The sequence below is a fragment of the Homo sapiens genome, chromosome 1 (genome assembly GCF_000001405.40).
Source record: "Homo sapiens chromosome 1, GRCh38.p14 Primary Assembly".
NCBI classification, from domain to species: Eukaryota; Metazoa; Chordata; class Mammalia; order Primates; family Hominidae; genus Homo; species Homo sapiens.
The window spans coordinates 197288441-197311365 of record NC_000001.11 but is presented as its reverse complement, the minus strand read 5'-3'; the positions used below and the strand labels follow the sequence as shown (position 1 = coordinate 197311365).

Here is a 22925-nt window from a genome sequence, read left to right as displayed (position 1 = left end):
ACCATTCTATTCTATGTTCCATGGGTTTGACTTTTAAAATTCCACATAGAAATGAGATCATATAGTATTTGCATTTCTCTTTCTGACTTATTTCGCCTAGCATAATGCCCTCAAGGTTCATCCATGTTGTCACAGATGGCAGAATTTCATTCTTTTTGATGGTTGAATAATATCCCATTGCATATGTATATCATATTTTCTGTATGAATCCAGCAAGGAACATTTAAGTTATTTCCATGTCTTGGCTACTGTGACTAATGCTGCAAGCAACAACTTTAGAAGTCTGAAATTGTGTCAGTATAAAACCATTAAAATTTAAAAGTTAGCTTAGCTTTTTAAGTTTAGATTTTTAATTCATCGGAAATTTCTATGTCAGATGAATGGCAGGTGTCATAGGTGAGATTATTGTTCATCAAAATATTCATTAGTGTCTTCATCTCCATGGGAGAATATATTTCTCTACCCTGTGGATGTCAGGTTTGGCTACATGACTGCTTTGGCCAATGGGATATTAACAAACATAATGCAAAGAGAAGCATATGATATTTCCTACTCCCCTAAACTGCCCTATGTAATTTTAATTTCTATTAAAAACAAAAGTCATTATTGAACTAATATGACTATGCAAATATGGTTATCAGGTGAACCAGATAGAATATGCTAATATATTTATTAGTATGTAACTTCTTTTTTATTCACTGAATTTTCTATATCTATATCTATATAGATATAGATATGTATCACTTGTTGATTGATCTGGAAGTTTTTTGATAGAACTCTAAAGCTTCTCTTAATCTGGTAAAAATACATTTCAAAAATTAATAAATTCATTTCCCTTTCAACTGTTTGCTCAACAAGCTAATTAATTACACAGATCTTACCTTGACGTTCCTTTTCCCTATTATCTGTGGTCTGCAGATGCAGGGATCTGACAACTTCCTGACAAGAGATAATGCTGAGTCTCCAGCCCAGAAACGGGGATTTAGGTGCCACAACATTCTGCATAGGTTTGGTGAGGGCGAAGACAAAAGACGATGTGTTCCTAGGCCTGGAAGATGTCAGGGTTTTTTTTATATTTTTCTATTCCGAAAATTGCCAACCCAGTGAGGCTTCTCATTCTCCTTGAGGAGGGAAAGAGAGTCTCAAGGGCAGGATCCTCCTTGAACTTTGACCTCGAAAATTTAATTACTTTGTTTTCAATAATGTAGTGTCTTCTTGTAAACCTACACTGTTGGGTAACTCTGTGCATAGAGAAATTTATCATTCAAATGTTTATAAACATCATACCATTGCACACATGGTTCTCAGCCCAAATAAAAAAGTTAAAAGAAAGCTATACACAAAAATCACTGGTTTAAACTATTTTCATTTCATCAGCCAGTGTGCAAACGTAGATATTTTTCACTTTCCTTGTATAAACATATTGTTAGTCCAGCAGGTGTCCATTGTGCTAGAAGAGGGTTGCCAACTACATTTAAGATGCTACATGAATGCAAATATGCTCATAAATAACATACCCAGTTCTCTGTGTGTAACCTTCATCTTGAACAACTACAGTACATAAGTAAATTTATTTATTTATTTATTTATTTATTTATTTATTTATTTATTTTGAGATGTAGTCTTGCTCTGTTATCAGGCTGGAGTGCAGTGACACGATCTTGGCTCACTGCAAGCTCTGCCTCCCGGGTTCATGCCATTCTCCTGCCTCAGCCTCCCGCATAGCTGGGACTACAGGCGCCTGCCACCACGCCCAGCTAATTTTTTGTATTTTTAGTAGAGACAGGTTTTCACCGTGTTAGCCAGGAAGGTCTCGATCTCCTGACCTCCTGATCCGCCCGCCTCGGCCTCCCAAAGTGCTGGGATTACAGGCGTGAGCCACAGCGCCTGGCCGTAAATTTCTCTAAATATGTGGATTCCAGTGTTATACTTATGGAAGTAGGAAAGCAATGGAAGAAACGAAAGGAGAAAAGAATGCAGAATTAATTAAACAGAAGGTGTTATGTTAGTCCACATACCAACCAGAAACTGTGTGTATGTGTGTGTGTGTGTGTCAGCAAAGACGTAGTAAGACATTCAAATTCAAAGATCTTCTGTAGAAGACCACAGTAGTCTAATGAACAAACTATGAAATGTGAATAATACATAGGAATAGAACAATCTGGCCTGTTCATCTCTTGTGCAATTGTGAATTATTTATATAAATATATATACTCACACTGATGAATATATGTGAGTATAAATATATAAATATATGTGTGTCATTGTGTGTGTGTATATGTGTATATATGATTTACAGTATATACATGTAACATAAATATATACATATACACGTTTGTGTATATACATATATACTGTATATTTATATATACCTGCATATATACATGCATATATACCCACATATATACATATATGTATATACCCACATATATGTATATATACCCACATATATATACCCACATATATACATATATGTAGATACTGTAAATCCTATATATACACACACATTTTTATATGTTTATAAATTTATATTTTTTATTTATTTGTTTACATAAAAGCATTTATTATATTGTGAAATGCTAAACATATATAGGGAATGATTTTTAGTAGTAATCACTATTATCATAATAGTTCATATTTATTAAGGACCTATTAAACCAGACATTTTAAATTTTAATCCTCATCATACAACTAATAGATAAATCTTTTTATTCTCTATTTTACAAAAAGATATGCCAAAGCATCATCACCATCATTATAGTAAAAATGACATTCATGAATATAGATAACATTTATTAAGTCCAAACTGTTTACTAGCACTTTTTAAAAATTTTTATATAGATTAGCTCATTTAATCTTCATAATAATCTTACAATGTACAACCTATCATTACTCCTATTTTGTAGATGATAAATTAGAACAGAGAGGTTTTGTTTTTTAACTTTTAGTTTAGATACAGGGAGTACATGTGCAGGTTTGTTACATGGGAATATTCCGTGATGCTGAGGACTGGAGTAAGGATCCCATCACCTACATAGTGAGTATAGTACCCAATAGGTAGCTTTTAGCCCATGCCCCCCTCCAAGTAGTCCACAGTGTCTATTATTCCCATATTTATGTCCATGTGTGCTTAACGTTTAGCTCCTACTTATAAGTGAGAAAATACAGTATTTTATTTTCTATTTCCACATTCATTTGCTTAGGATTACGGCCTCCAGCTCCATCCATGTTGCTGCAAATAACGTGATTTCATTTTTAATGGCTGTGTAGTATTCCATGGTATATATATACCCATTTTATTTATCCTATTTGCCATTAATGGTACTTGGATTGATTCCATGTATTTACTATTGTGAATAGTGAAGCAATGAACATACAAGTGCATGTGTCTCTTTGGTAGACTGATTTATTCTCTTTGAGGTATATATACCCAGTAATGAGATTGCTGGGTTAAATGGTAGCTCGAAAAGAGAGTTTAAGTAACTTGTTCAAGGTCACGTAGCTAGTAAGTGGAAGGACCAGGGAGAGAGAGGATCTGGAATGTTTCCAAGTTATATAGTTAAGTTACAATGGACAAGAGCCTGCTGTGAGCCTTGGGGCTCTGACCTACTGCATCGTAATACCTCCAGTACTAATACATTAATGAGTAACTCATCATTCACAACTGTAAATCATCTACCTGTCAGTGATAATGGACATTTCTGTTCCTTGCCTTTTGATTAGAAATAATTTAAACAAAAAGAGAAAATAACTCATTGAACATCAAGAGTGATTGGATGTGGCTATTATTTTAGTTACTTTCATACTGAACTTCTCTGTACTCTCACAGTTCCTGCATTTTCTCTAATTTTAAAGTGTATATTTCAGTCTCCCTCTTTAGACTCAGACCTCAATGGCCAAAACCACAGCTTATTTCCTTTGTATCATCCCAAAAGCCTTTGCATGCTGTTTGGCAAACATTATTTTGTTAATAAATATTCATTAAACTTAACAGAATTTCATATGTAAACCCCTTTAATCCTGTCCAAACAAGCTGTAAAACAGCTTTTAACATCCTCATTTGCAGTTGTAAAAACCAATGACTGGGGAAGTAATTTGCTCAAGGTTTTAGCTGCTTAGAAATACATCTGAAGCTTGAACTCTGCAATACTGATTCTTAGTCTGAAGTTTTACTATCAGTTCTATGAGAACTTACTAAGTTCTGTGAAAACTATATAGTTCTGCATAAACTATTATATGTAAAATGCAAGCAAAAAGGTGCTTAATAAATGTTAGTTGATTTTTGCCTACAGGTACCACTTATATTCAAAATATCTTTGAATAGAACAAATAAAATAAAGGTAAAAATATCTAAATTTTCAGACATAACATTTGTTTTTACTATAAGAGGGAAAAATGGTCAGGCCACACAAATCGACTCCTTTTTTCAGTGTGCTGCTAAGAAACACAACTAACAACATGATGTGACTAGAATACAGATCATTCTATTGAGTTGTAATAGCTAATTGCATTTGCCCTGCTTCAGAAATGAGCACCTGTGGGCTTTTGTCTGCTGTGAAAATGACTGTAGATGGCAAGAAAGCACAGACAGAGACCCCTCTCTACTTGACTTTGGATGTTTACTTCATGCCTTTCTGTGTGATTTTCTTTTTGGTGCAAGTGAATTTTCAGCAAAGGACCAATTTTTCTCTCTTCTTTGATCCTTGTCCCTTGAGGTTTCTGTGCCTAAGTCTTGCTCTCAGCACAAAATTATCTTCCCAGAGCCTGACTGCTCCACATAACACTCCACTACAATCCTAAGCTTGCCACCCAATGGATATGACAGGCTTTTTGCCTCTGAGTATATATTCCATCTCAGCGTAGTACTTTCAGTTTTCTGCTCAGCCTGGACTGTTTACTGTAGGATAAGTTCTTCCTTCCAAAGTATAATAGAAAACCCAAAATTTAGGACAGGATATCTGCCTTCAATATCAAAAAGATACTCATTCCTGATACTTCAGATATCTTATCTTTGTTTTATCCTAATTTATCCTTTTTATTATTGGCTGGACTGTTTTCACGACTTTTCTTCTTTGACCATTCAATTTCCCTCAGACCACCTGGGACCCACCCATTCTCCTACATTTTGGACTTTACAGCTTGCTATATAGCAATTTGAATCTCTCTGTTTCTGGAGTGTTCAGCAGCTGCTGGCCAGCTGCTTCCTCTGAAACATGTTCTTGTATGTGCCCTACCCTGCTTCCTTTCCTGGATCTGACCTATTCCTCTGCTTACATTCCTTGGTGCTGTTCGTTTCCAGGCACTCTTTACCAATATTAGGACTGAACACTATACTTCCTTTTCCCCACCTATCATCCATCCTTGGTTGCACTCCTTACAATTCAGTAACAAAGATATTCCCAGAATTGAGACTGATAATGTTGCAGGCTTGCTCAGTTCTTGCTTTTTGTTTTTTTTTTTTTCAATTAGATCTCAAATATCAGTTTCCAAAGTGAGTAATTTATCACCTATATTATGTAGATCTTTCTGTATTACATTCTTTAAAATATAAAGAATAGAGGAATTGCAAGAACTCCTTGCAATTTGGGAAAATATTCACAAGGATTGAAGGTATTTGAATAGTTTTAGCTCAAGAAGAATGTAAAGTGTTCATGTGCAGTTAATATTGATTATCAAGACGTTAAGGAGGTGACGGCAAATATCAAATAGTTATTCAGGTGTTGTAATGGTTAACCCAAGATGAATGCTGTAAAAGGACGCTCATAAAAAAATCACAGATTATTAGCAGTCATCCGCATAATTATTTCTCTTCTCTCTCTATATATATGTATATATAAATAATATTTTTTCATATTCATACAAAAAATCCTTTTAGAAAATACAGTTAATTATACACTCTTATATCTACTTCAGACATTCTAATTCATTGTATCAGTACATAAAATTTTTTGGAACATATATGTATACTCTATTTTAATAGCACCTAATAGCTATCCTAATTCCTGAAAATATAAGCTGTTGATTCATTAACAAATATGTTTATACACTTGACTCCCATGTACTCAACACCAACAAGGATAATTATAGGATAGTAATAAAATTACATTACAAATAGACTCTACATAGAAAGAAACTTAAATTATTTAAGAAATTACCATAAATATTGGAGACTATGTTTTAGAAAACACACCAAGTTCCCCAGTAACCTAAGAACATTAGAGCACACAGCAAACTTAGATATCAGGTTTCAGAGCAGGACATAAAAACCAACTCTAAGTATTTTAAGTAGAAATAAATTTAGTATTGAGAATAAGATGCAAAAGGCATCCCTGGAATGGCTGAAAGAATAGGCTCTGCAGGGCCTTCCAGTAATGACTAACAGAACACTACAGAACTCTCAGGCTGAAGCTGGAATTGTCGAATACAAAACACAAGGTCATAGCTATGATCCAAGGATTAGGACTGCCTCTGTGTCACTGCCACCATTGCCATGGTCCCTGAACATTCACAAAGCAAGTGAATGAACACTGGTGAATGGGTAGGATTGGCACTGCCTTTGTCAAAACTGCCTCTTGACACTTAGGTAGCTGGAGAGTGGACAATGGAATGCTGTTGCCAAGATCCTCATGTCATCATAACTGTGCAAGCCTGTAGATGTAGCCAAAAGAGGAAAATGATTTCCACTTCACTTCTGCCTTCCAAGTGTTTTTAATTGGTGAAACCTAATTTATGTGTAGAACCCTACTGCAAGGAAAGTGAGAAATGTAGTTTTAGCCTTCCAGAATCTACAATATAGAAAACCACATAGGTGGAGGGTGGGATGAAGGCTGAGCAAGTCAACCCATAGTATCTACCACAGAGGCATCTAAATAAACTCCTCTAACTTTAGATGAAGAATATGAAAATCATAGAGGTTAAGTGAGAATACACCTGAACCAGGACATACATTTACCTTTCCTGAGCACATGCCACTGCTAGTCATAGATGTGTCCTCCCTAGATGTGGAAAAACATTTAATGTTATTCAAAATCAAAATCAATATATTTTAAAATGTAACCATTAGAAAATCAAATATCTAATTGCATTTAACTTATGTTAAAAAATTAGACAATAATCTTATTAAAGAGTATATTATATTCCATTTTTGAGAGATGTGCTATGAAGATTTTGGGGAAGAACTGTTTCAGTTGGTATTCATAATGACCTAGAATTACCTAATACTTTCTGATCCACCAATAGTATTACCACATATCAATACATAGCTTCTCCATTTAGTAAAGGCATACTGAAGATTTGTTGAAAGATCTTTAGAGTATAACTCTTCCATTTTTCCAAAACACAATGTCTAATTTAAAATATTATGTTTTTATTTTTTTAAGAGATGGCGTCTCTCTCTGTCACCTAGGGTGGCATGCAATGGCATGATCATAGTTCATTACAACCTCGAACTCCTGGGCTCATGCTACACTCCTGCCTCAGCCTCCCAAGTAGCTGGAACTACAGGCACACACCAACACTCTCAGCTTCAATGTATGTTTTCAACAGCATTTTTTCCAAATGCATAATATTCTCTTTTAATGTTAGAATAAAAATAAGTTTAGCTATTAGATAAAGGCAAACTAGACATGTGAAATCTAAAGTGGCTTATTTAGATTGATTCAAGGAAAGCATGAGTCAAAAGATCTGAATGTTAGTTTTGATTCTATCATCAATCTAGCTAGGACAAGTCGCTTATTTTTTTTTCAGGGTCTGAATTTCATGATATTTGACTTTGAGATGACTTGACACTTAATAGACTTGTTGGGGAGAGTAAAGCTAGATGGTAGATAATATTAAACAATGTCAAAAGCTAGATACAGTCATCTGATGGTACAATTATTTGTTATTTTTATATTCTACTGCTACTAGTAATATCTCCTTTACTTCAGAGTAAAAAGAAACAGGAAAAATGAACAAGATCTTCTTTTCATACAAAAAACCAAACACCACATATTCTCACTCATAGGTGGGAATTGAACAATGAGAACACATGGACACAGGAAGGGGAACATCACACTCTGGGGACTGTTGTGGGGTGGGGGGAGGGGGGAGGGATAGCATTAGGAGATATACCTAATGCTAAATGACGAGTTAATGGGTGCAGCACACCAGCATGGCACATGTATACATATGTAACTAACCTGCACATTGTGCACATGTACCCTAAAACTTAAAGTATAATAATAATAAAATAATAAATAAATAAATAAATAAATAAAAGAATAATTGGCCTCTTAATTTGAGCCTGGGTCTTATTTTAGCAAATAACTGATAATGGAAAAGTAGAATGGCTGGAAACCAAGTTGATGACACACAAAATGCTTCTACTTAGTGCAGCTTCATTAAAGATGAGACATTCAGGAAATATGTGTGATTTGTGGTGCCTTGGGAAAGTATCTGGAACTATTAAAGAGAACTTGACATACCTTCTTACTTCCCTTCAGTTGCATACAGGAGTATTTAGTTTCACAAATGTGTTTGTTTTTTCTGATTTTAATTTGATGTGTTTTCTAACACTAGCAGATTTTAGCCCAAGCTGACCTAAAGGGGCTCTTGTGTCCCTAGTTAATATTCCCCCACATTTTGCCATGAGATCTTGTCTTATATTCTTTCATCGACTTTATGGCATAAATATTATTCTTTGGCCAACTTTATTCTGAATTTTCTATTCTTTATTTTGTCAATTACTCTATCAGAGACAGTTGAACAGACTCAGACTTCACTCCTAACATTTAGCTCACCATTGCAGGCTTTGCCTTCCATTTTTTGGCCCCATCTTGTGTATATTAGCCTTTTTTAGGTCTTTATATTGCTTACTTTTTATTTATCCCTAAGATTTACAAATATAGGCATACCTCAGAGATATTGTAGGTTCAGTTCCAGACTACTGTAATAAAGCAAATATCAAAATGAAATGAGACACACAATATTTTTGGTTTCCTAGTGCATATAAAAGTTATACTTACACTATACTGTAGTCTATTAAGTGTACCATTGCATTATGCCTGCAAAAACAATGTGCATACCTTAATTTTAAAAACCTGTATTGCTAAAAAATGCTAACGATCATCTCAGCCTTTAGCAAGTCATAATCTTTTTGCTGGTGGAGGGTCTTGCCTCCATGTTGACAGCTGCTGACTGATCAGGGTGATGGTTGCTGAAGGCTGAGATGGCTGTGGCAATTTCTTAAAACAAAACAATAATAAAATTTGTTGCTTCTATTGACTCTTCCTTTCATGAAAGATTTCTTTGTAACATGCTGTGCTTTTTGATAATATTTTAACCACAATAGAACTTCTTTCAAAATTGGAGTCAATCCTCTCAAACCTCATTGCTGTTTTATGAGTTATGTTTATGTAATATTCTAAAATCTTTGTTGCTATTTCGACAGTGTTCACCAGGAGTAGATTTCATTTCACAAAATTCTTTTTTTTTTCATCCATAAGAAGCAACTTTGCATCCATTCAACTTTGATCATGAGATGGCAGCTATTCAGTCACATCTTCAGGTCCACTTCTAATTCTACTTCTCCTGCTATTTCCACCACATCCGCAGTTACTTCCTCCATTGAGGTGTTGAACCCCTCAAAGTCATCCATAAGGGTTGGAATCAATTTCTTCCAACTCTTGTTAATGTTGCTATTTTGACCTCCTCCCATGAATCATGAATGTTTCTTCAGATTATGAGACTACCATGCTACCTACTGCATTAATGAGGCACCTACAAATGTTCTGAATGGCACCTAGAATGATGAATCCTTCCCAGATGGTTTGCAATGGATTTTTCCCAGAATCGCCAAAGGAATCACTATCTACGGAGTGTTCACCTTATAAAATGTATTTCTTAAATAATGAGACTTGAAGCCGGGTGTGGTAACTCACACCTGTAATCCCAGAACTTTGGGAGGTTGAGGCAGGTGGATCACCTGAGGTCAAGAGTTTGAGACCATCCTGGCCAACATGGTGAAACCCCGTCTCTACTAAAAATACAAAAATTAGCCGGGTATGGTGGCACATGCCTGTAATCCCAGCTACTCAGGAGGCTGAGGCAAGAGAATCATTTGAACCCAGCAGGCAGAGGTTGCAGTGAGCCGAGGTCGCGCCACTGCACTCCAGCCTGGGTGATAGAGTGATACTCGGTCTTAAAAAAAAAAAAAAGACTTGAAAGCTGAAATTACTCCCTGATTCATAGATGGGCTGGATAAAAACATTCACATCCTTGCCCATCTCCATCAGAGATCTTGGGTGACTAGGGGCATTGTCAATGAGCAGTAATGTTTTGAAATAAATCTTTTTTTTTTTTCCTGAGCATTAGCTGTCAACAGTGGGCTTACAATATTCAGTAAACCATACTGTAAACAGATGTGCTGTCATCCAGGCTTTATTGTTCCATTTATGGAGCACAGACATAGTAGATTTAGCACCATTTGTAAGGGGCCTAGAATTTTCTGAATGATAAATGAACACTAGTTTCAGTTAAAGTCATCAGCTGCATTAGCCCCTAACAAGAGAGTCAGCCTGTCCTTTGAAACTGTGAAGCCAGGCATCAACTTCTTTCTAGCTATGAAAGTCCTAGATGGCATTTTCTTCCAACAGGAGGTTGTTTTGCCTACACTGAAAATGTGCTTTTCAGTGTAGCCACTTTAATCAATTATCTTAGCTAGATCTTAAGAATAACTTGCTGCACCTTTACATTAGCACCTGCTACTTCACCTTGCACTCTTATGTTATGGAGATGGCTTCTTCCCTTAAACCTTATGAACCAACCTCTGCTAGCTTCCAACTTTTCTTCTGCAGCTTCCTTATTTCTCTCAGCCTTCATAGAATTGAGGAGAGTAGGGGCTTTGCTCCGGGTTAGGCTTTGGCTTAAGGAAATGTTGTGGCTGGTTTGATCTTCTATCCAGACCACTCAAACTTTCACCATCTCAGCAAAAAGGCTCTTTCACTTTTTTACCATTTGTGTGTGAACTGGAGTAGCAATTTTAACCTTCTTCAAGAACTTTTCCTCTGCATTGACATCTTGGCTGTTTGGCACAACAGGATTAGTTTCAGCCTATCTTAGTCAATATGCCTTCCTCCATAAGCTTAATCAGTTCTAGATTTTGATTTAAAGTGATAGTTGGGTGACCCTTACTTTCACTTGAACATTGAAAGCGTTATTAATTGGCCTAATTTCAATATTGTTTAGTCTCAGGGAATATGGAGGCCTGAGAATAGGGAGAGAAACAGAGGAACAGCCTATCAGTGAAGCAGTCAGACATACTGAACATTTATCAATTAAGTTGGTTGCCATATGGGCATGGTTTGTGGTGCCCAAAAACAATTACAATAGGAACATCAAAGATCATTGATCACAGATTACCCTAACACATGTAACAAAATACTGAAAAAGTTTGAGATATTGCAAAAATTATCAGAATGTGACACCGAGACACAAACTGAGCACATGCTATTGCTTGATGCTGAGTTGCCACAAACTTTCAATTTGTGAAAAAAAATGCAGTATCTGTGAAGCACATTACTGTGAAGTACAATAAAATGAGGCACGTCTGTATAGCACATCATGGTCTATGGAGTCCTGCCTTTTTTGGTTCAACTTAGGTTTTAACAATTTATGCATGTAGTTGCACATAACAGTAGTTCATTCATTTTCAATATTCTCTAACAACCTGTTATATAAATATACTACAGTTTTTTTTTTCCTTTTCTTGTCAAGGCAAAAATACTTTTATTTTTCAAGTTTTTTGCTGTATGAACTTTTTTTACATATTTTGATTTGTACACGATTGCACATACACATTGAAGATTTTTCCTTTAGTGTGTGTGTAGGAGTGGAATTACTTAGTCAATTTAGAGTAAATTTATGGTCAAATTTATAAAATAACTTCAAATTGCTTTCCAGAGCTTATGCCAATGGATACATGCATTAGTTCTATGTAAGAGTCACTCTTACTTGTTGTTCCACATGTCTGTCAGGTTGGCTTTGTAAGATGTAATCATTTTTACCAATCTAGATGCAAAATGGCATTTATCTGTGATCTGAACTTGCATTTCCCTGATAACTAGTGAGATGGACTGCATTTTCTTATGTTTTTGACCATTCGTGCTTCCTCTTCTGTGAAATAGTTCTTCATGTCTCATTTCCATTTTATTAATTGGTCCATTGTCACTTTCTCATTGATTTGAAGGAGTGCTTTACATACTAAGATCATCATTATCTTGTTGACTGTATGCCATGCAAATTCCTTCTCCCAGTTTGTTGATTTTTTTTCTACATTACTTACAGTATTTTTGACTATTATAGTTAATTTAATGTAATTGAATTTATCCTTAATTTTTTCATAATTACCACTTTTGTCTTAAATAAATGTATTCCTACATTGAGGTAATGAAATATTCTTTTGCTTTTGTAAAGTATAAAGTTTTTGCTTTTCCCATGTAATTAATTTATTTGGAATTAGTTTTTATGTATAAATGAGAAGAAGATCAACTCTATGTTTTCAATATCAATAAATAATTGGGCAAAAAAATTTTAATGCCATTTGTTCTGTTCCCAATGATGGCAATACCATTTCTCTTATGTATAATTTTCCACTTATATATGGCCGTTTCTGAGTCTTTGTTTTATATATTTACCCCTTGAGCCAATGTCATCCTTTTAAAATTGTTATAGCATTATAATAATTCTTGCTATATTATCTGGTAGGACATATTCCCTCCAAGTCATTATTCTTCCTCAGGAGTGTTTTAGCCAGTTTTATTCTTTGTTATTCTCCTCAATTTTAGAATCAACTTGTTCATTTTGTCCAAAACACTGAAAATTATTAACCTCCAAAATTTGTGGAGAAAACTACTACTTAAAGGTTCCTCTCGCCTGAAGCATTTAATCCTCTTACCCCACTTTTTCATCGTCTGCAATTTACTTGCAGAGTAAATAGAACCTGTTAGAGGTACCTTCTTTAATTTCCCTGTACCAGTGATATAGACTTATCTACATCCATATACATCTATTCCTGTTTTCCTCCTATTAACCAGGCTACTAGGTTTTGTCTCTTTATCCAAGGATAAAATTTCAGCGTGCTCAGAATAAGATTCTTTTACTTCCCTGTAGGGTCTTGCCTCTCTTTATTTTCCATCTGCAATTTCTCTTTTCTCTGTAAGTATGTAAGCATGTTCACATTTTTGCTAAAAATAGAACAAAAGAAAAGAAGCAAAGTACATAACATAACCCTCTTTATCTCTCCTTTATTTCCCTATGGCTCCTGTAGTATCTGCCTTCCCCTCTTTACAGCCAGACTTCTCAGAACAGTTGTCTATGTTCACCATCTATTCTCACTCAGTTTCCACTCAGTGCACAGCCAACTGCCATCTGGCTACTGTCCTCACCACCCCATGAACCTACTGGCCAGGGTCCCCAGTAATAACACATTTGGAGTCATTTTCTTACTTGAAGTCTTGATATTTGAATTATCTTATCTCTCTATCTCTTAAAAGCTATTCTTTTTTATAGCTTCATACTTTTCTGACTTTTTTCTTTTCCCCTCTAAGTTCTATAGGCTCCTTTGTGAATTCTCTTTTCTCAGTTGTCATTTAAAATGACTGGACCTTAGGGGCCCTCTTCCCTTTTCCCTGTGGACTCTCACCTGGGTGATCCTCAATCATCAGATCTCTACTTGCTACGTATAGATTGATATCCCCCAAGTTGTAATCTCTAGCACATCCCTCTTTCCTCAGCATGAAGGCTATCACACTATCTGACATCTCCATTCTAACTCAACTTGCAAACATAGCAACGCTACTGGTCATCTTTCATCCTGCACTCCCATGCAGTACTTTTCCTCCTGCCATACTCCATACCTCAGCTAGAAAGTTGATGGAAGTACTGGCCATACAATTGATCAAGCCAGAATCCTCAGGTTCATCGTGGATCCTTCCTCATCTTTTCCTAACACATTCAATTAACCAAAAAATCTTGTGGACTCTAACTCCCAAAGACAACTAATATATGTATAATAGCACAATTTAATATTTTTCAAGTCTAGAAAGGAACAATTAGGAGCAGATAATCAACATGAAGAAAATCATTAGAAGGGGATGGATATCAGGAGTGTTGGACAAGGTGCAAACACGGGACAGAATTGAGATTATGGCAAGCAGTTGATGGCGTTTCAGATGACCCATGCCACAAGATTCAGTGGCCCAGTCATAGGAAAACTAGAGCTCAGGATTAGAAAAGCCCAATATAGCAAGAACAAGATAATAAGAACAAACTCACCTAATAGGACTAGAGAATAAAGAGAGGAAGTCAATCAAGGAGGAGACTTGTGTATTAGTCCGTTTTCATGCTGCTGGTAAAGACATAACTGAGACTGGGTAATTTATAAAGAAAAAGAGGTTTAATGGACTCACAATTTCCCATGCCTGGGGAGGCCTCACAATCATGGCAGAAGGCAAAAGGGACGTCTTACATGGTGGCTGGCAAGAGAGAAATGAGGACCAAGTGAAAGGGGTTCCCCCTTATGAAACCATCAGATCTTGTGAGACTTATTCACTACCATGAGAACAGTATGGGGGAACTGCCTCTATGATTCAATTATCTCCCACCAGGCCCCTCCGACAACATGTGGGAATTATCGGAGCTACAATTCAAGATGATATTTGGGTGGGGACACAGCCAAACCATATCAACTTGGTTACCAGACAGATCAGTTCCTAAAAGCCTGGAGTTCCAATATCGGATAAATGGGATCTCAATGATAAATCACTTCACTTTAGTTCTGAAGTCTATCACTCTCTTCTTACCTGGAGATACAACTGACTTCTGGATCTGTAGCAAGACAGTTTTGATACAAGAAAATATGAAGGAAATTCAGTGATCTAGTTGGATAACACAAGTAGAAATTTAAATGTACTGTTTACTATATTCCAGGTACAGTTTGGCACTTTTTAAATCATTTACCATGATGATGTCAATTAAGCTTCATAAAATAGTGTAAGTACCATTATTATTTCCATCTTATAGATGAAGAAAGTGAGGCTTGCAAAGGTAATTTTCTGAGGCAAAACATCTGGTAAGTAGTGGAGATAGAATTCAAGGCCTGCAGTCTGGCTCTAGAGCCCCTGATTTTACCTGTGATGAAAAAGTGTTTCTTGTTAATATACTATGAACATTATTTGTGTCTCCATTTTGCAGATAGAAAAATAGTCCAAGAGAGATTTAAACAATTTGTATTTTGTAGTTTAGACAGTTCTAGAACTCAGGTTCTCAAGTCTAGTGCTCATATTTTTATAGTCTTCTGTCTATAAAATCTATTAATGAAGGATTATGCCTTACTTTGTCTTAAATTTTTTTTTAAATCTTAGAAGAGTTAAGATGCTATCTTTCTTAGATCTAATAGTAGAGACCAAAGTAGCTCTCTTCCAGCTATGTGATGCTGTGTTTCACAGTAAGCCTGGCTTTTGTCTTTATGAAGACATAATACTTTATTAGGATCATCCTAGGTACACAAGGTCTCAGGCAGAAATAAGATTAGATCCTCAGCCATATGTCGCACTTCAGAGAAGATCTAATTCACAATCTTGTACAGTCTGACAAATATCTCCATTAACAAATCTTAATCATGTGGGTGGAAGAAAGGAGGGTGACCAAAATAAAGCTGCTCAAATATATTTCAGCTATTAAATGCTGAAGTGCTGCAGACACAAAGGCTTGAGTTGTGTCATTCCATTATCAGTGAAATATAAACTACAAAATATACCATGATGAGACACACAACTCAGTGATACTGTGAAGTTCTTGAGTGTCTGGTTCCTCTCTTTCTTTGGCTCAAAAATTTTTTACTTGCGGAATCTATATCCTACAAGACAAAGCCCCAAGTTACTTCTTCAAGTTCAATTGCTCTAACCTGCTGGATATCCCACATTGCTCTCAGTTGTCCTTATTTTGCTTCTGACCCTTGCTCTTGCCTGCCTCTTGGGTTTTGACACACTACTTTGGTTTTCAGCTTTGATCCTTAGGACTCAGGTGTTTAGTACCCTGACGACACAATCCAGCACCACCCTCACTCAGGCCTTGGGCCAGCTACAAGCTAGAAGGCAACATGACAACATTTAAAGACCATTGAAAAAGGATTAACAATTCTATAGCCTGCCAAGAGGTTGAAAAATGTTTATGATTTTATGAGAATTTAGAGTTCTTACATATCATTTATGAAAAAAAATACTTGCCTCCCAAACACTCAAGTAAAACAAACTTAGGTCTTTTCTTTTATTATTATACTCTAAGTTCTAGGGTACATGTGCACAACGTGCAGGTTTGCTACATATGTATACATGTGCTATCTTGGTGTGCTGCACCCATTAACTCGTCATTTACATTAGGTATATCTCCTAATGCTATCCCTCCCCTCTCCCTCTACCCCACGACAGGCTCTGGTGTGTGATGTTCCCCTTCCTGTGTCCAAGTGTTCTCATTGTTCAATTCCCGCCTATGAGTGAGAACATGCGGTGTTTGGTTTTTTGTCCTTGCGACAGTTTGCTGAGAATGATAGTTTCCAGCTTCATCCATGTCCCTACAAAGGACATGAATTCAACCTTTTTTATGGCTGCATAGTATTCCATGGTGTATATGTGCCACATTTTCTTAATCCTGTCTATCATTGATGGACATTTGGGTTGGTTCCAAGTCTTTGCTATTGTGAATAGTGCCGCAATAAACGTATGTGTGCATGTGTCTTTATAGCAGCATGATTTATAATCCATTGGGTATATACTCAGTAATGGGATGGCTGGGTCAAATGGTATTTCTAGTTCTAGATCCTTGAGGAATTTCCACACTGTCTTCCACAACGGTTGAATTAGTTTATAGTCCCACCAACAGTGTAAGTGTTCCTATTTCTCCACATCCTCTCCAGCACCTGTTATTTCCTGATGATCGCCATTCTAACTGGTGTGAGATGGTATCTCATTATGGTTTTGATTTGCATTTCTCTGATGGCCAGTGATGATGAATATTTTTTTTCGTGTGTCTGTTGGCTGCAGAAATGTCTTCTTTTGAGAACTGTCTGTTCATGTCCTTTGCCCACTTTTTGATGGGGTTGTTTGATTTTTTCTTGTAAATTTGTTTGAGTTCTTTGTAGATTCTGGAAATTAGCCCTTTGTCAGATGTGCAGATTGCAAAAATTTTCTCCCATTCTTTAGGTTGCCTTTTCACCCTGATGGTAGTTTCTTTTGCTGTGCAGAAGCTCTTCAGTTGAATTAGATCCCATTTGTCAATTTTGGCTTTTGTTGCCATTGCTTTTGGTGTTTTAGACATCAAGTCCTTGCCCATGCCTATGTCCTGAATGGTATTGCCTAAGTTTTCTTCTAGGGTTTTTATGGTCTTAGGTCTAACATTAAAGTCTTTAATCCATCTTGAATTAATTTTTGTATAAGGTGTAAGGAAGGGATCCAGTTTCAGCTTTCTACATATGGCTAGCCAGTTTTTCCAGCACCATTTGTGAAATAGGGAATCCTTTCCCCATTGCTTGTTTTTGCCAGGTTTGTCAAAGATCAGATGGTTGTAGATGTGTGGTATTATTTCTGAGGGCTCTGTTCTGTTCCATTGGTCTATATCTCTGTTTTGGAACCAGTACCATGCTGTTTTGGTTACTGTAGGCTTGTAGTATAGTCTGAAGTCAGGTAGTATGATGCCTTCAGCTTTGTTCTTTTGGCTTAGGATTGACTTGGCGACGCGGGCTCTTTTCTGGTTCCATATGAACTTTAAAGTAGTTTTTTCCAGTTCTGTGAAGAAAGTCATTGGTAGCTTGATGGGGATGGCATTGAATCTATAAATTACCTTAGGCAGTATGGCCATTTTCACGATATTGATTCTTCCTATCCATGAGCATGGAATGTTCTTTCATTTGTTTTTGTCCTCTTTTATTTTGTTGAGCAGTGGTTTGTAGTTCTCCTTGAAGAGGTCCTTCACGTCCTTTGTAAGTTGGTTTCCTGGGTATTTTATTCTCTTTGAAGCAATTGTGAATGGGAGTTCACTCATGATTTGGCTCTCTGTTTGTCTGTTATTGGTGTATAAGAATGCTTGTGATTTTTGCACATTGATTTTGCATCCTGAGAATTTGCTGAAGTTTCTTATCAGCTTAAGGAGATTTTGCACTGAGACGATGGGGTTTTCTAAATATACAATCATATCATCTGCAAACAGGGACAATTTGACTTCCTCTTTTCCTGATCGAATACCATTTATTTCTTTCTCCTGCCTGATTGCCCTAGCCAGAACTTCCAACACTATATTGAAAAGGAGTGGTGAGAGAGGGCATCTCTGTCTTGTGTCAGTTTTGAAAGGGAATGCTTCCAGTTTTTGCCCATTCAGTATGATATTGGCTGTGGGTTTGTCATAAACAGATCTTATTTTTTGAGATATGTCCCATCAATACCTAGTTTATTGAGAGTTTTTTTAGCATGAAGTGCTGTTGAATTTTGTCAAAGGCCTTTTCTGTATCTATTGAGATAATCAAGTGGTTTTTGTCTTTGGTTCTGTTTATATGCTGGATTACATTTATTGATATTTGTATGCTGAACCAGCCTTGTATCCCAGGGATGAAGCCCACTTGATCATGGTGGATAAGCTTTTTGATGTGCTGCTGGATTCGGTTTGCCAGTATTTTATTGAGGATTTTCTCATCGATGTTCATCAGGGATATTGGTCTAAAATTCTCTTTTTTTTGTTGTGTCTGTGCCAGGCTTTTGTATCAGGATGATGCTGGCCTCATAAAATGAGTTAGGGAGGATTCCCTCTTTTTCTATTGATTTGAATATCTTCATAAGGAATGGTACCAGCTCCTCCTTGTACCTCTGGTAGAATTCGGCTGTGAATCTGTCTAGTCCTGGACTTATTTTGGGTGGTAGGCTATTAATTATTGCCTCAATTTCAGAGCCTGTTATTGGTCTATTCAGGGATTCAACTTCCTGGCTTAGTCTTGGGATGCTGTATAGGAATTTATCCATTTCTTCTAGATTTTCTAGTTTATTTGCATAGAGGTGTTTATAGTATTCTCTGACGGTAGTTTGTACTTCTGTGGGATTGGTGGTGATATCCCCTTTATCATTTTTTATTGCGTCCATTTGATTTTTCTCTCTTTTCTTCTTTATTAGTCTTGCTAGCGGTCTATCAATTTTGTTGATCTTTTCAAAAAATCAGCTCCTGGATTCATTGATTTTTTAAAGGGTTTTTTGTGTCACTATCTCCTTCAGTTCTGCTCTGATCTTAGTTATTTCTTGCCTTCTGCTAGCTTTTGAATGTGTTTGCTCTTGCTTCTCTAGTTGTTTTAATTGTGATGTTAGGGTGTCAATTTTAGATCTTTCCTGCTTTCTCTTGTGGGCATTTAGTGCTATATATTTCCCTCTACACACTGCTTTAAATGTGTCCCAGAGATTCTGGTAAGTTGTGTCTTTGTAAACTTAGATCTTAACTTAAATGCAAGCCTTCCTGGAGAATATAGATGGGAAAGCAAAGAGCATTATGGAATGAAACTTGCAATGTTGTATGTACACATGTATGTACATATAATGCATTATAATTATATATGCAATCTAAAATTTCAATGAATAATAACAGGCTGTCCAGGAATGTGCTCTATTAAGCACTATGCATGCTAAGGACTCTGGAAACTGAAAAGACAAATATATGTGACATCTTGAAATAAATATAAAATCTCTAACTAATTTTGCTTTTACTGTAGAAAGATAACAGCATGAACTAAAATCCAACAGTGTCATGAATTTTTGATTATTGAATTGAGATAAAAGTCAATCAAATGAAATTTTATCATGAACAGTAATTTGAAGCTACTTTGAGTATAAGATTTTCGCAGTAATCACAAACATTAATTTGATAAAACATGTAACCAACTAATCTTAGAAAATTAAGGAAATACTGAAATATTAAATTTCCCAATGTAATTAAAAGCTAAAATAAAATACTTGCAAAGTGCCGTATGTTTATTATCCCACAGTGTTGAATAAAGTAAAAATCAATTCGTTAGAATGGGATAAAAGACACATGTCCACTCACTTATATATTTAAGTATTTTCATTATTAACATCTTTATTTAAATGAAGTTTTTAAAGACTATATTGTCCAAGAAATGAATTATCTTGCATGGAAATTTAAATATTACTAATTAAGTTTTAAAATGTCATCATCCTAGCTCTTGAAGTTATTATTTTTAGTACTTATTACCTATTCAAATGCAAGTTTACAAACGTTGAACTAGTCTGTGAGATTGTCATATAAGTATAAAATCGAGAAGATTAATGTCCACAGTATATTTTAGTTTCATTTCTCATTTTGAAAGCCATTTATTTTAAAGAAAAATTCTTTCTTGATTAGAGCTCATTACAATTAAAAATACATTTAGTACCAGAGAGCCAGGCACAAGAAACACAATTTCCTGCAAAAGCATGGAAATTGTCCTGCAAAAGCATGGACAAAAAGCATGTCATTTTAACACAGATATCTTTATTTTAGTGAATGGATAATTAACTTCTATTTTTAGTGAGAGGGCAAATGTACATAAACTTAAAATCCTCCCATTACAAATAATCAGAAATAATGAATCAAATACAACAAATATTATTTAAATATGTAAGTGAAGGAAAGGGAGATCACCAGGTAACACAGGGGATGAAAGAGCTGAAAATCAGCATGACACTCAATGGACGTTCATACTGTGTCTGTCCTGTTGGCTGATAGAGGGGAGAGAAGAAGAAAAAACGGATCCCTTGCATCAAGAGTTTGGTTTTTAATGGTCATGGAAAGGAGCTGGGGGGATGTGAAACTGAGCTGTTCAGGGAAAAAGAAGGCCTAAAAAATAATCTTCCTACTGTCAGGGATGTGGTGAGCAACAATGAAGCTAATGACTTCCTGTCCTTTCACATCCTACCTCCAGGAAATCAAAACCCTGAGACTCTGCATCTATCCCATTTACAGTACCCATATGATCTGAGATCCACTTCTCTTCAAACACACACACACACACACACACACACACACACACACACACGAAAGGGAACATAAAAAACTGATTTTGAGCCAGTGGTATCCTTGGCTACTTTGCAAAAGCACAGCAAAAAATGTTCTACAGGGATATGACCAGGATGCAGTTCCAAAAGGTACTCATAGGATAAATACAACAAATGTTTTTAAAAACCTCTTGAAGAAAGACTCAAAATAAAAAATTATAAGTCATAAGAAAAACAAACAAGGAACAAGTTAGCAGAAACCATAGATAGATTAGATCCCCAACCCTTAAGATAGACTGACAAATATAACTTTTATATAACTAGATAAAAATAACTATATATAACAACTATATACTTAAATAGCTACAGATATATAATCATCTACATAAGATATATAACTTTAGAGAAGATATATAACTATGTAAGATATATATCTTTATAAAATTTTAAATTGTAATATGAAAAATAAAGCACATTATATAAAAAAGAATAGGTCCATTTTAAAAGGCAAACAGATCTGTTGAAAAGGAAAATGTAGGCACTGACATTTAAAACTAAATCAACAAATTAGAGCATATTAGACATAGCTGAAAAGAAATAGATGAAAGGAAAATATGTTAGTAAGATTAATAGACAACAATGATAGAAGAAAAGGTTCTGATATTCATCTAATAGGAATACTGAGACAGAACAGAGAGAATGGCGAAGAGACCATATTCAAAGTGATAAATGGTTCAAATTTTCCCCAAACCCACGAGGTTTGTGAAACTTCACATTCAAGAAGCTCAAAAAGTCTTAAGAATCATAAATAACATTTGAAAAAATAAAGATACAGTAAATATAAATCCCCAACCAAGGCACATCACAATACACTGAAGATAAAGAAAATGCATTAAGAAACCAGAAAGAAAATAGGGAGCACCTGCAGAGGAACCAAAATTAGAGTGAAATGAGAGCACAATTTTCCATAGAAGAAAAAAGACAGACAAAATATTTTCAAAAACAAAATATTATTCAAGAATTAGAGAAGATAATTATATTTCAGGAAAACATTTCCTGCTTATTGACAGAATGAGAGAAAAGTAAGAGATATAATTAAGAAAGAAAATGGGTATGGTTTTGTGTGTGTGTTTCTTGTACTTGGGATTTGTTTTTTGTTTTGTTTTGTTTTGCTTTTGTTTTTTTGGTCTGTCTCTGGTCTGTCCCGTTGCAGCTCTCCTCTCAGGTACTCTGTCCCGAGAATTTCATCTGTCCGGGTCTCCTCAAACATTAGGCTCTACATGGATCACTCTCCACATGCTGTTGGCTGGAAATTCAAGTTTTTTTTTTTTTTTAACCTATGTATTCATAGTTTTCATCCTTTTTAGAGAAGTTTGGGCATTATTTCTTCAAAACTTTTTATTCTCACTCTCTTTTTCAGGGAGTCCAATTTTGCATATCTTAGACTTTGTAAAGTTGTCACAGTTTTGTGGGTGTTTCGTTTGCTTTGCTTTGTTTTGTTTTCTAATCCTTTTTTCTCTTTATGTTTAATTTTGGATCATTTCCATTGCTATGTCTTCAAATCACTAACCTTCCCTTCAACGTCTAATTTGTCATTCATCTCTTCCAACGTACTTTTCGTCTTATACCTTGTAGATTCTTTCTCTATAAGTTTGATTTGAATCTTTCTCATATCTCATAATTCTACTTAACTTTTTGAACATCTGGAATACAGTTGTAATAACTGTTTTGGTGCCCTTATCTGGTAATTCTAACATCTGGATCAATTTATGATCTGTTTTGATTGATTTATTTTTCTCCTCATTTGGGTCTTATTTTCCTGTTTCTATGCATGCCTTCTTGAGCTGTGTTCTGCAATGCAGTTTT

The 22925-nt window shown here is 35.5% G+C and overlaps 1 protein-coding gene across 12 annotated transcripts in view; it reads right to left on the bottom strand.

Annotated features, from left to right (window-relative positions):
• The window catches only part of CRB1 (crumbs cell polarity complex component 1), a 276952-nt gene that overhangs the window by 167090 nt on the left and 86937 nt on the right, over positions 1 to 22925 (bottom strand). The window contains exons 2-3 of one of the 12 annotated variants that reach the window (NM_001257965.2): positions 8895 to 8926; positions 6953 to 6995 (exon numbers count right to left, since the gene is read on the bottom strand). The exons of 10 other annotated variants lie outside the window; for them this stretch is intronic. The gene's annotated coding sequence lies outside the window, so the exon portion shown is untranslated. Of the gene's footprint in view, positions 1 to 6952; positions 6996 to 8894; positions 9121 to 22925 lie in introns of those variants that run through there. One more of the 12 variants, XM_047416572.1, reaches the window with a different exon arrangement.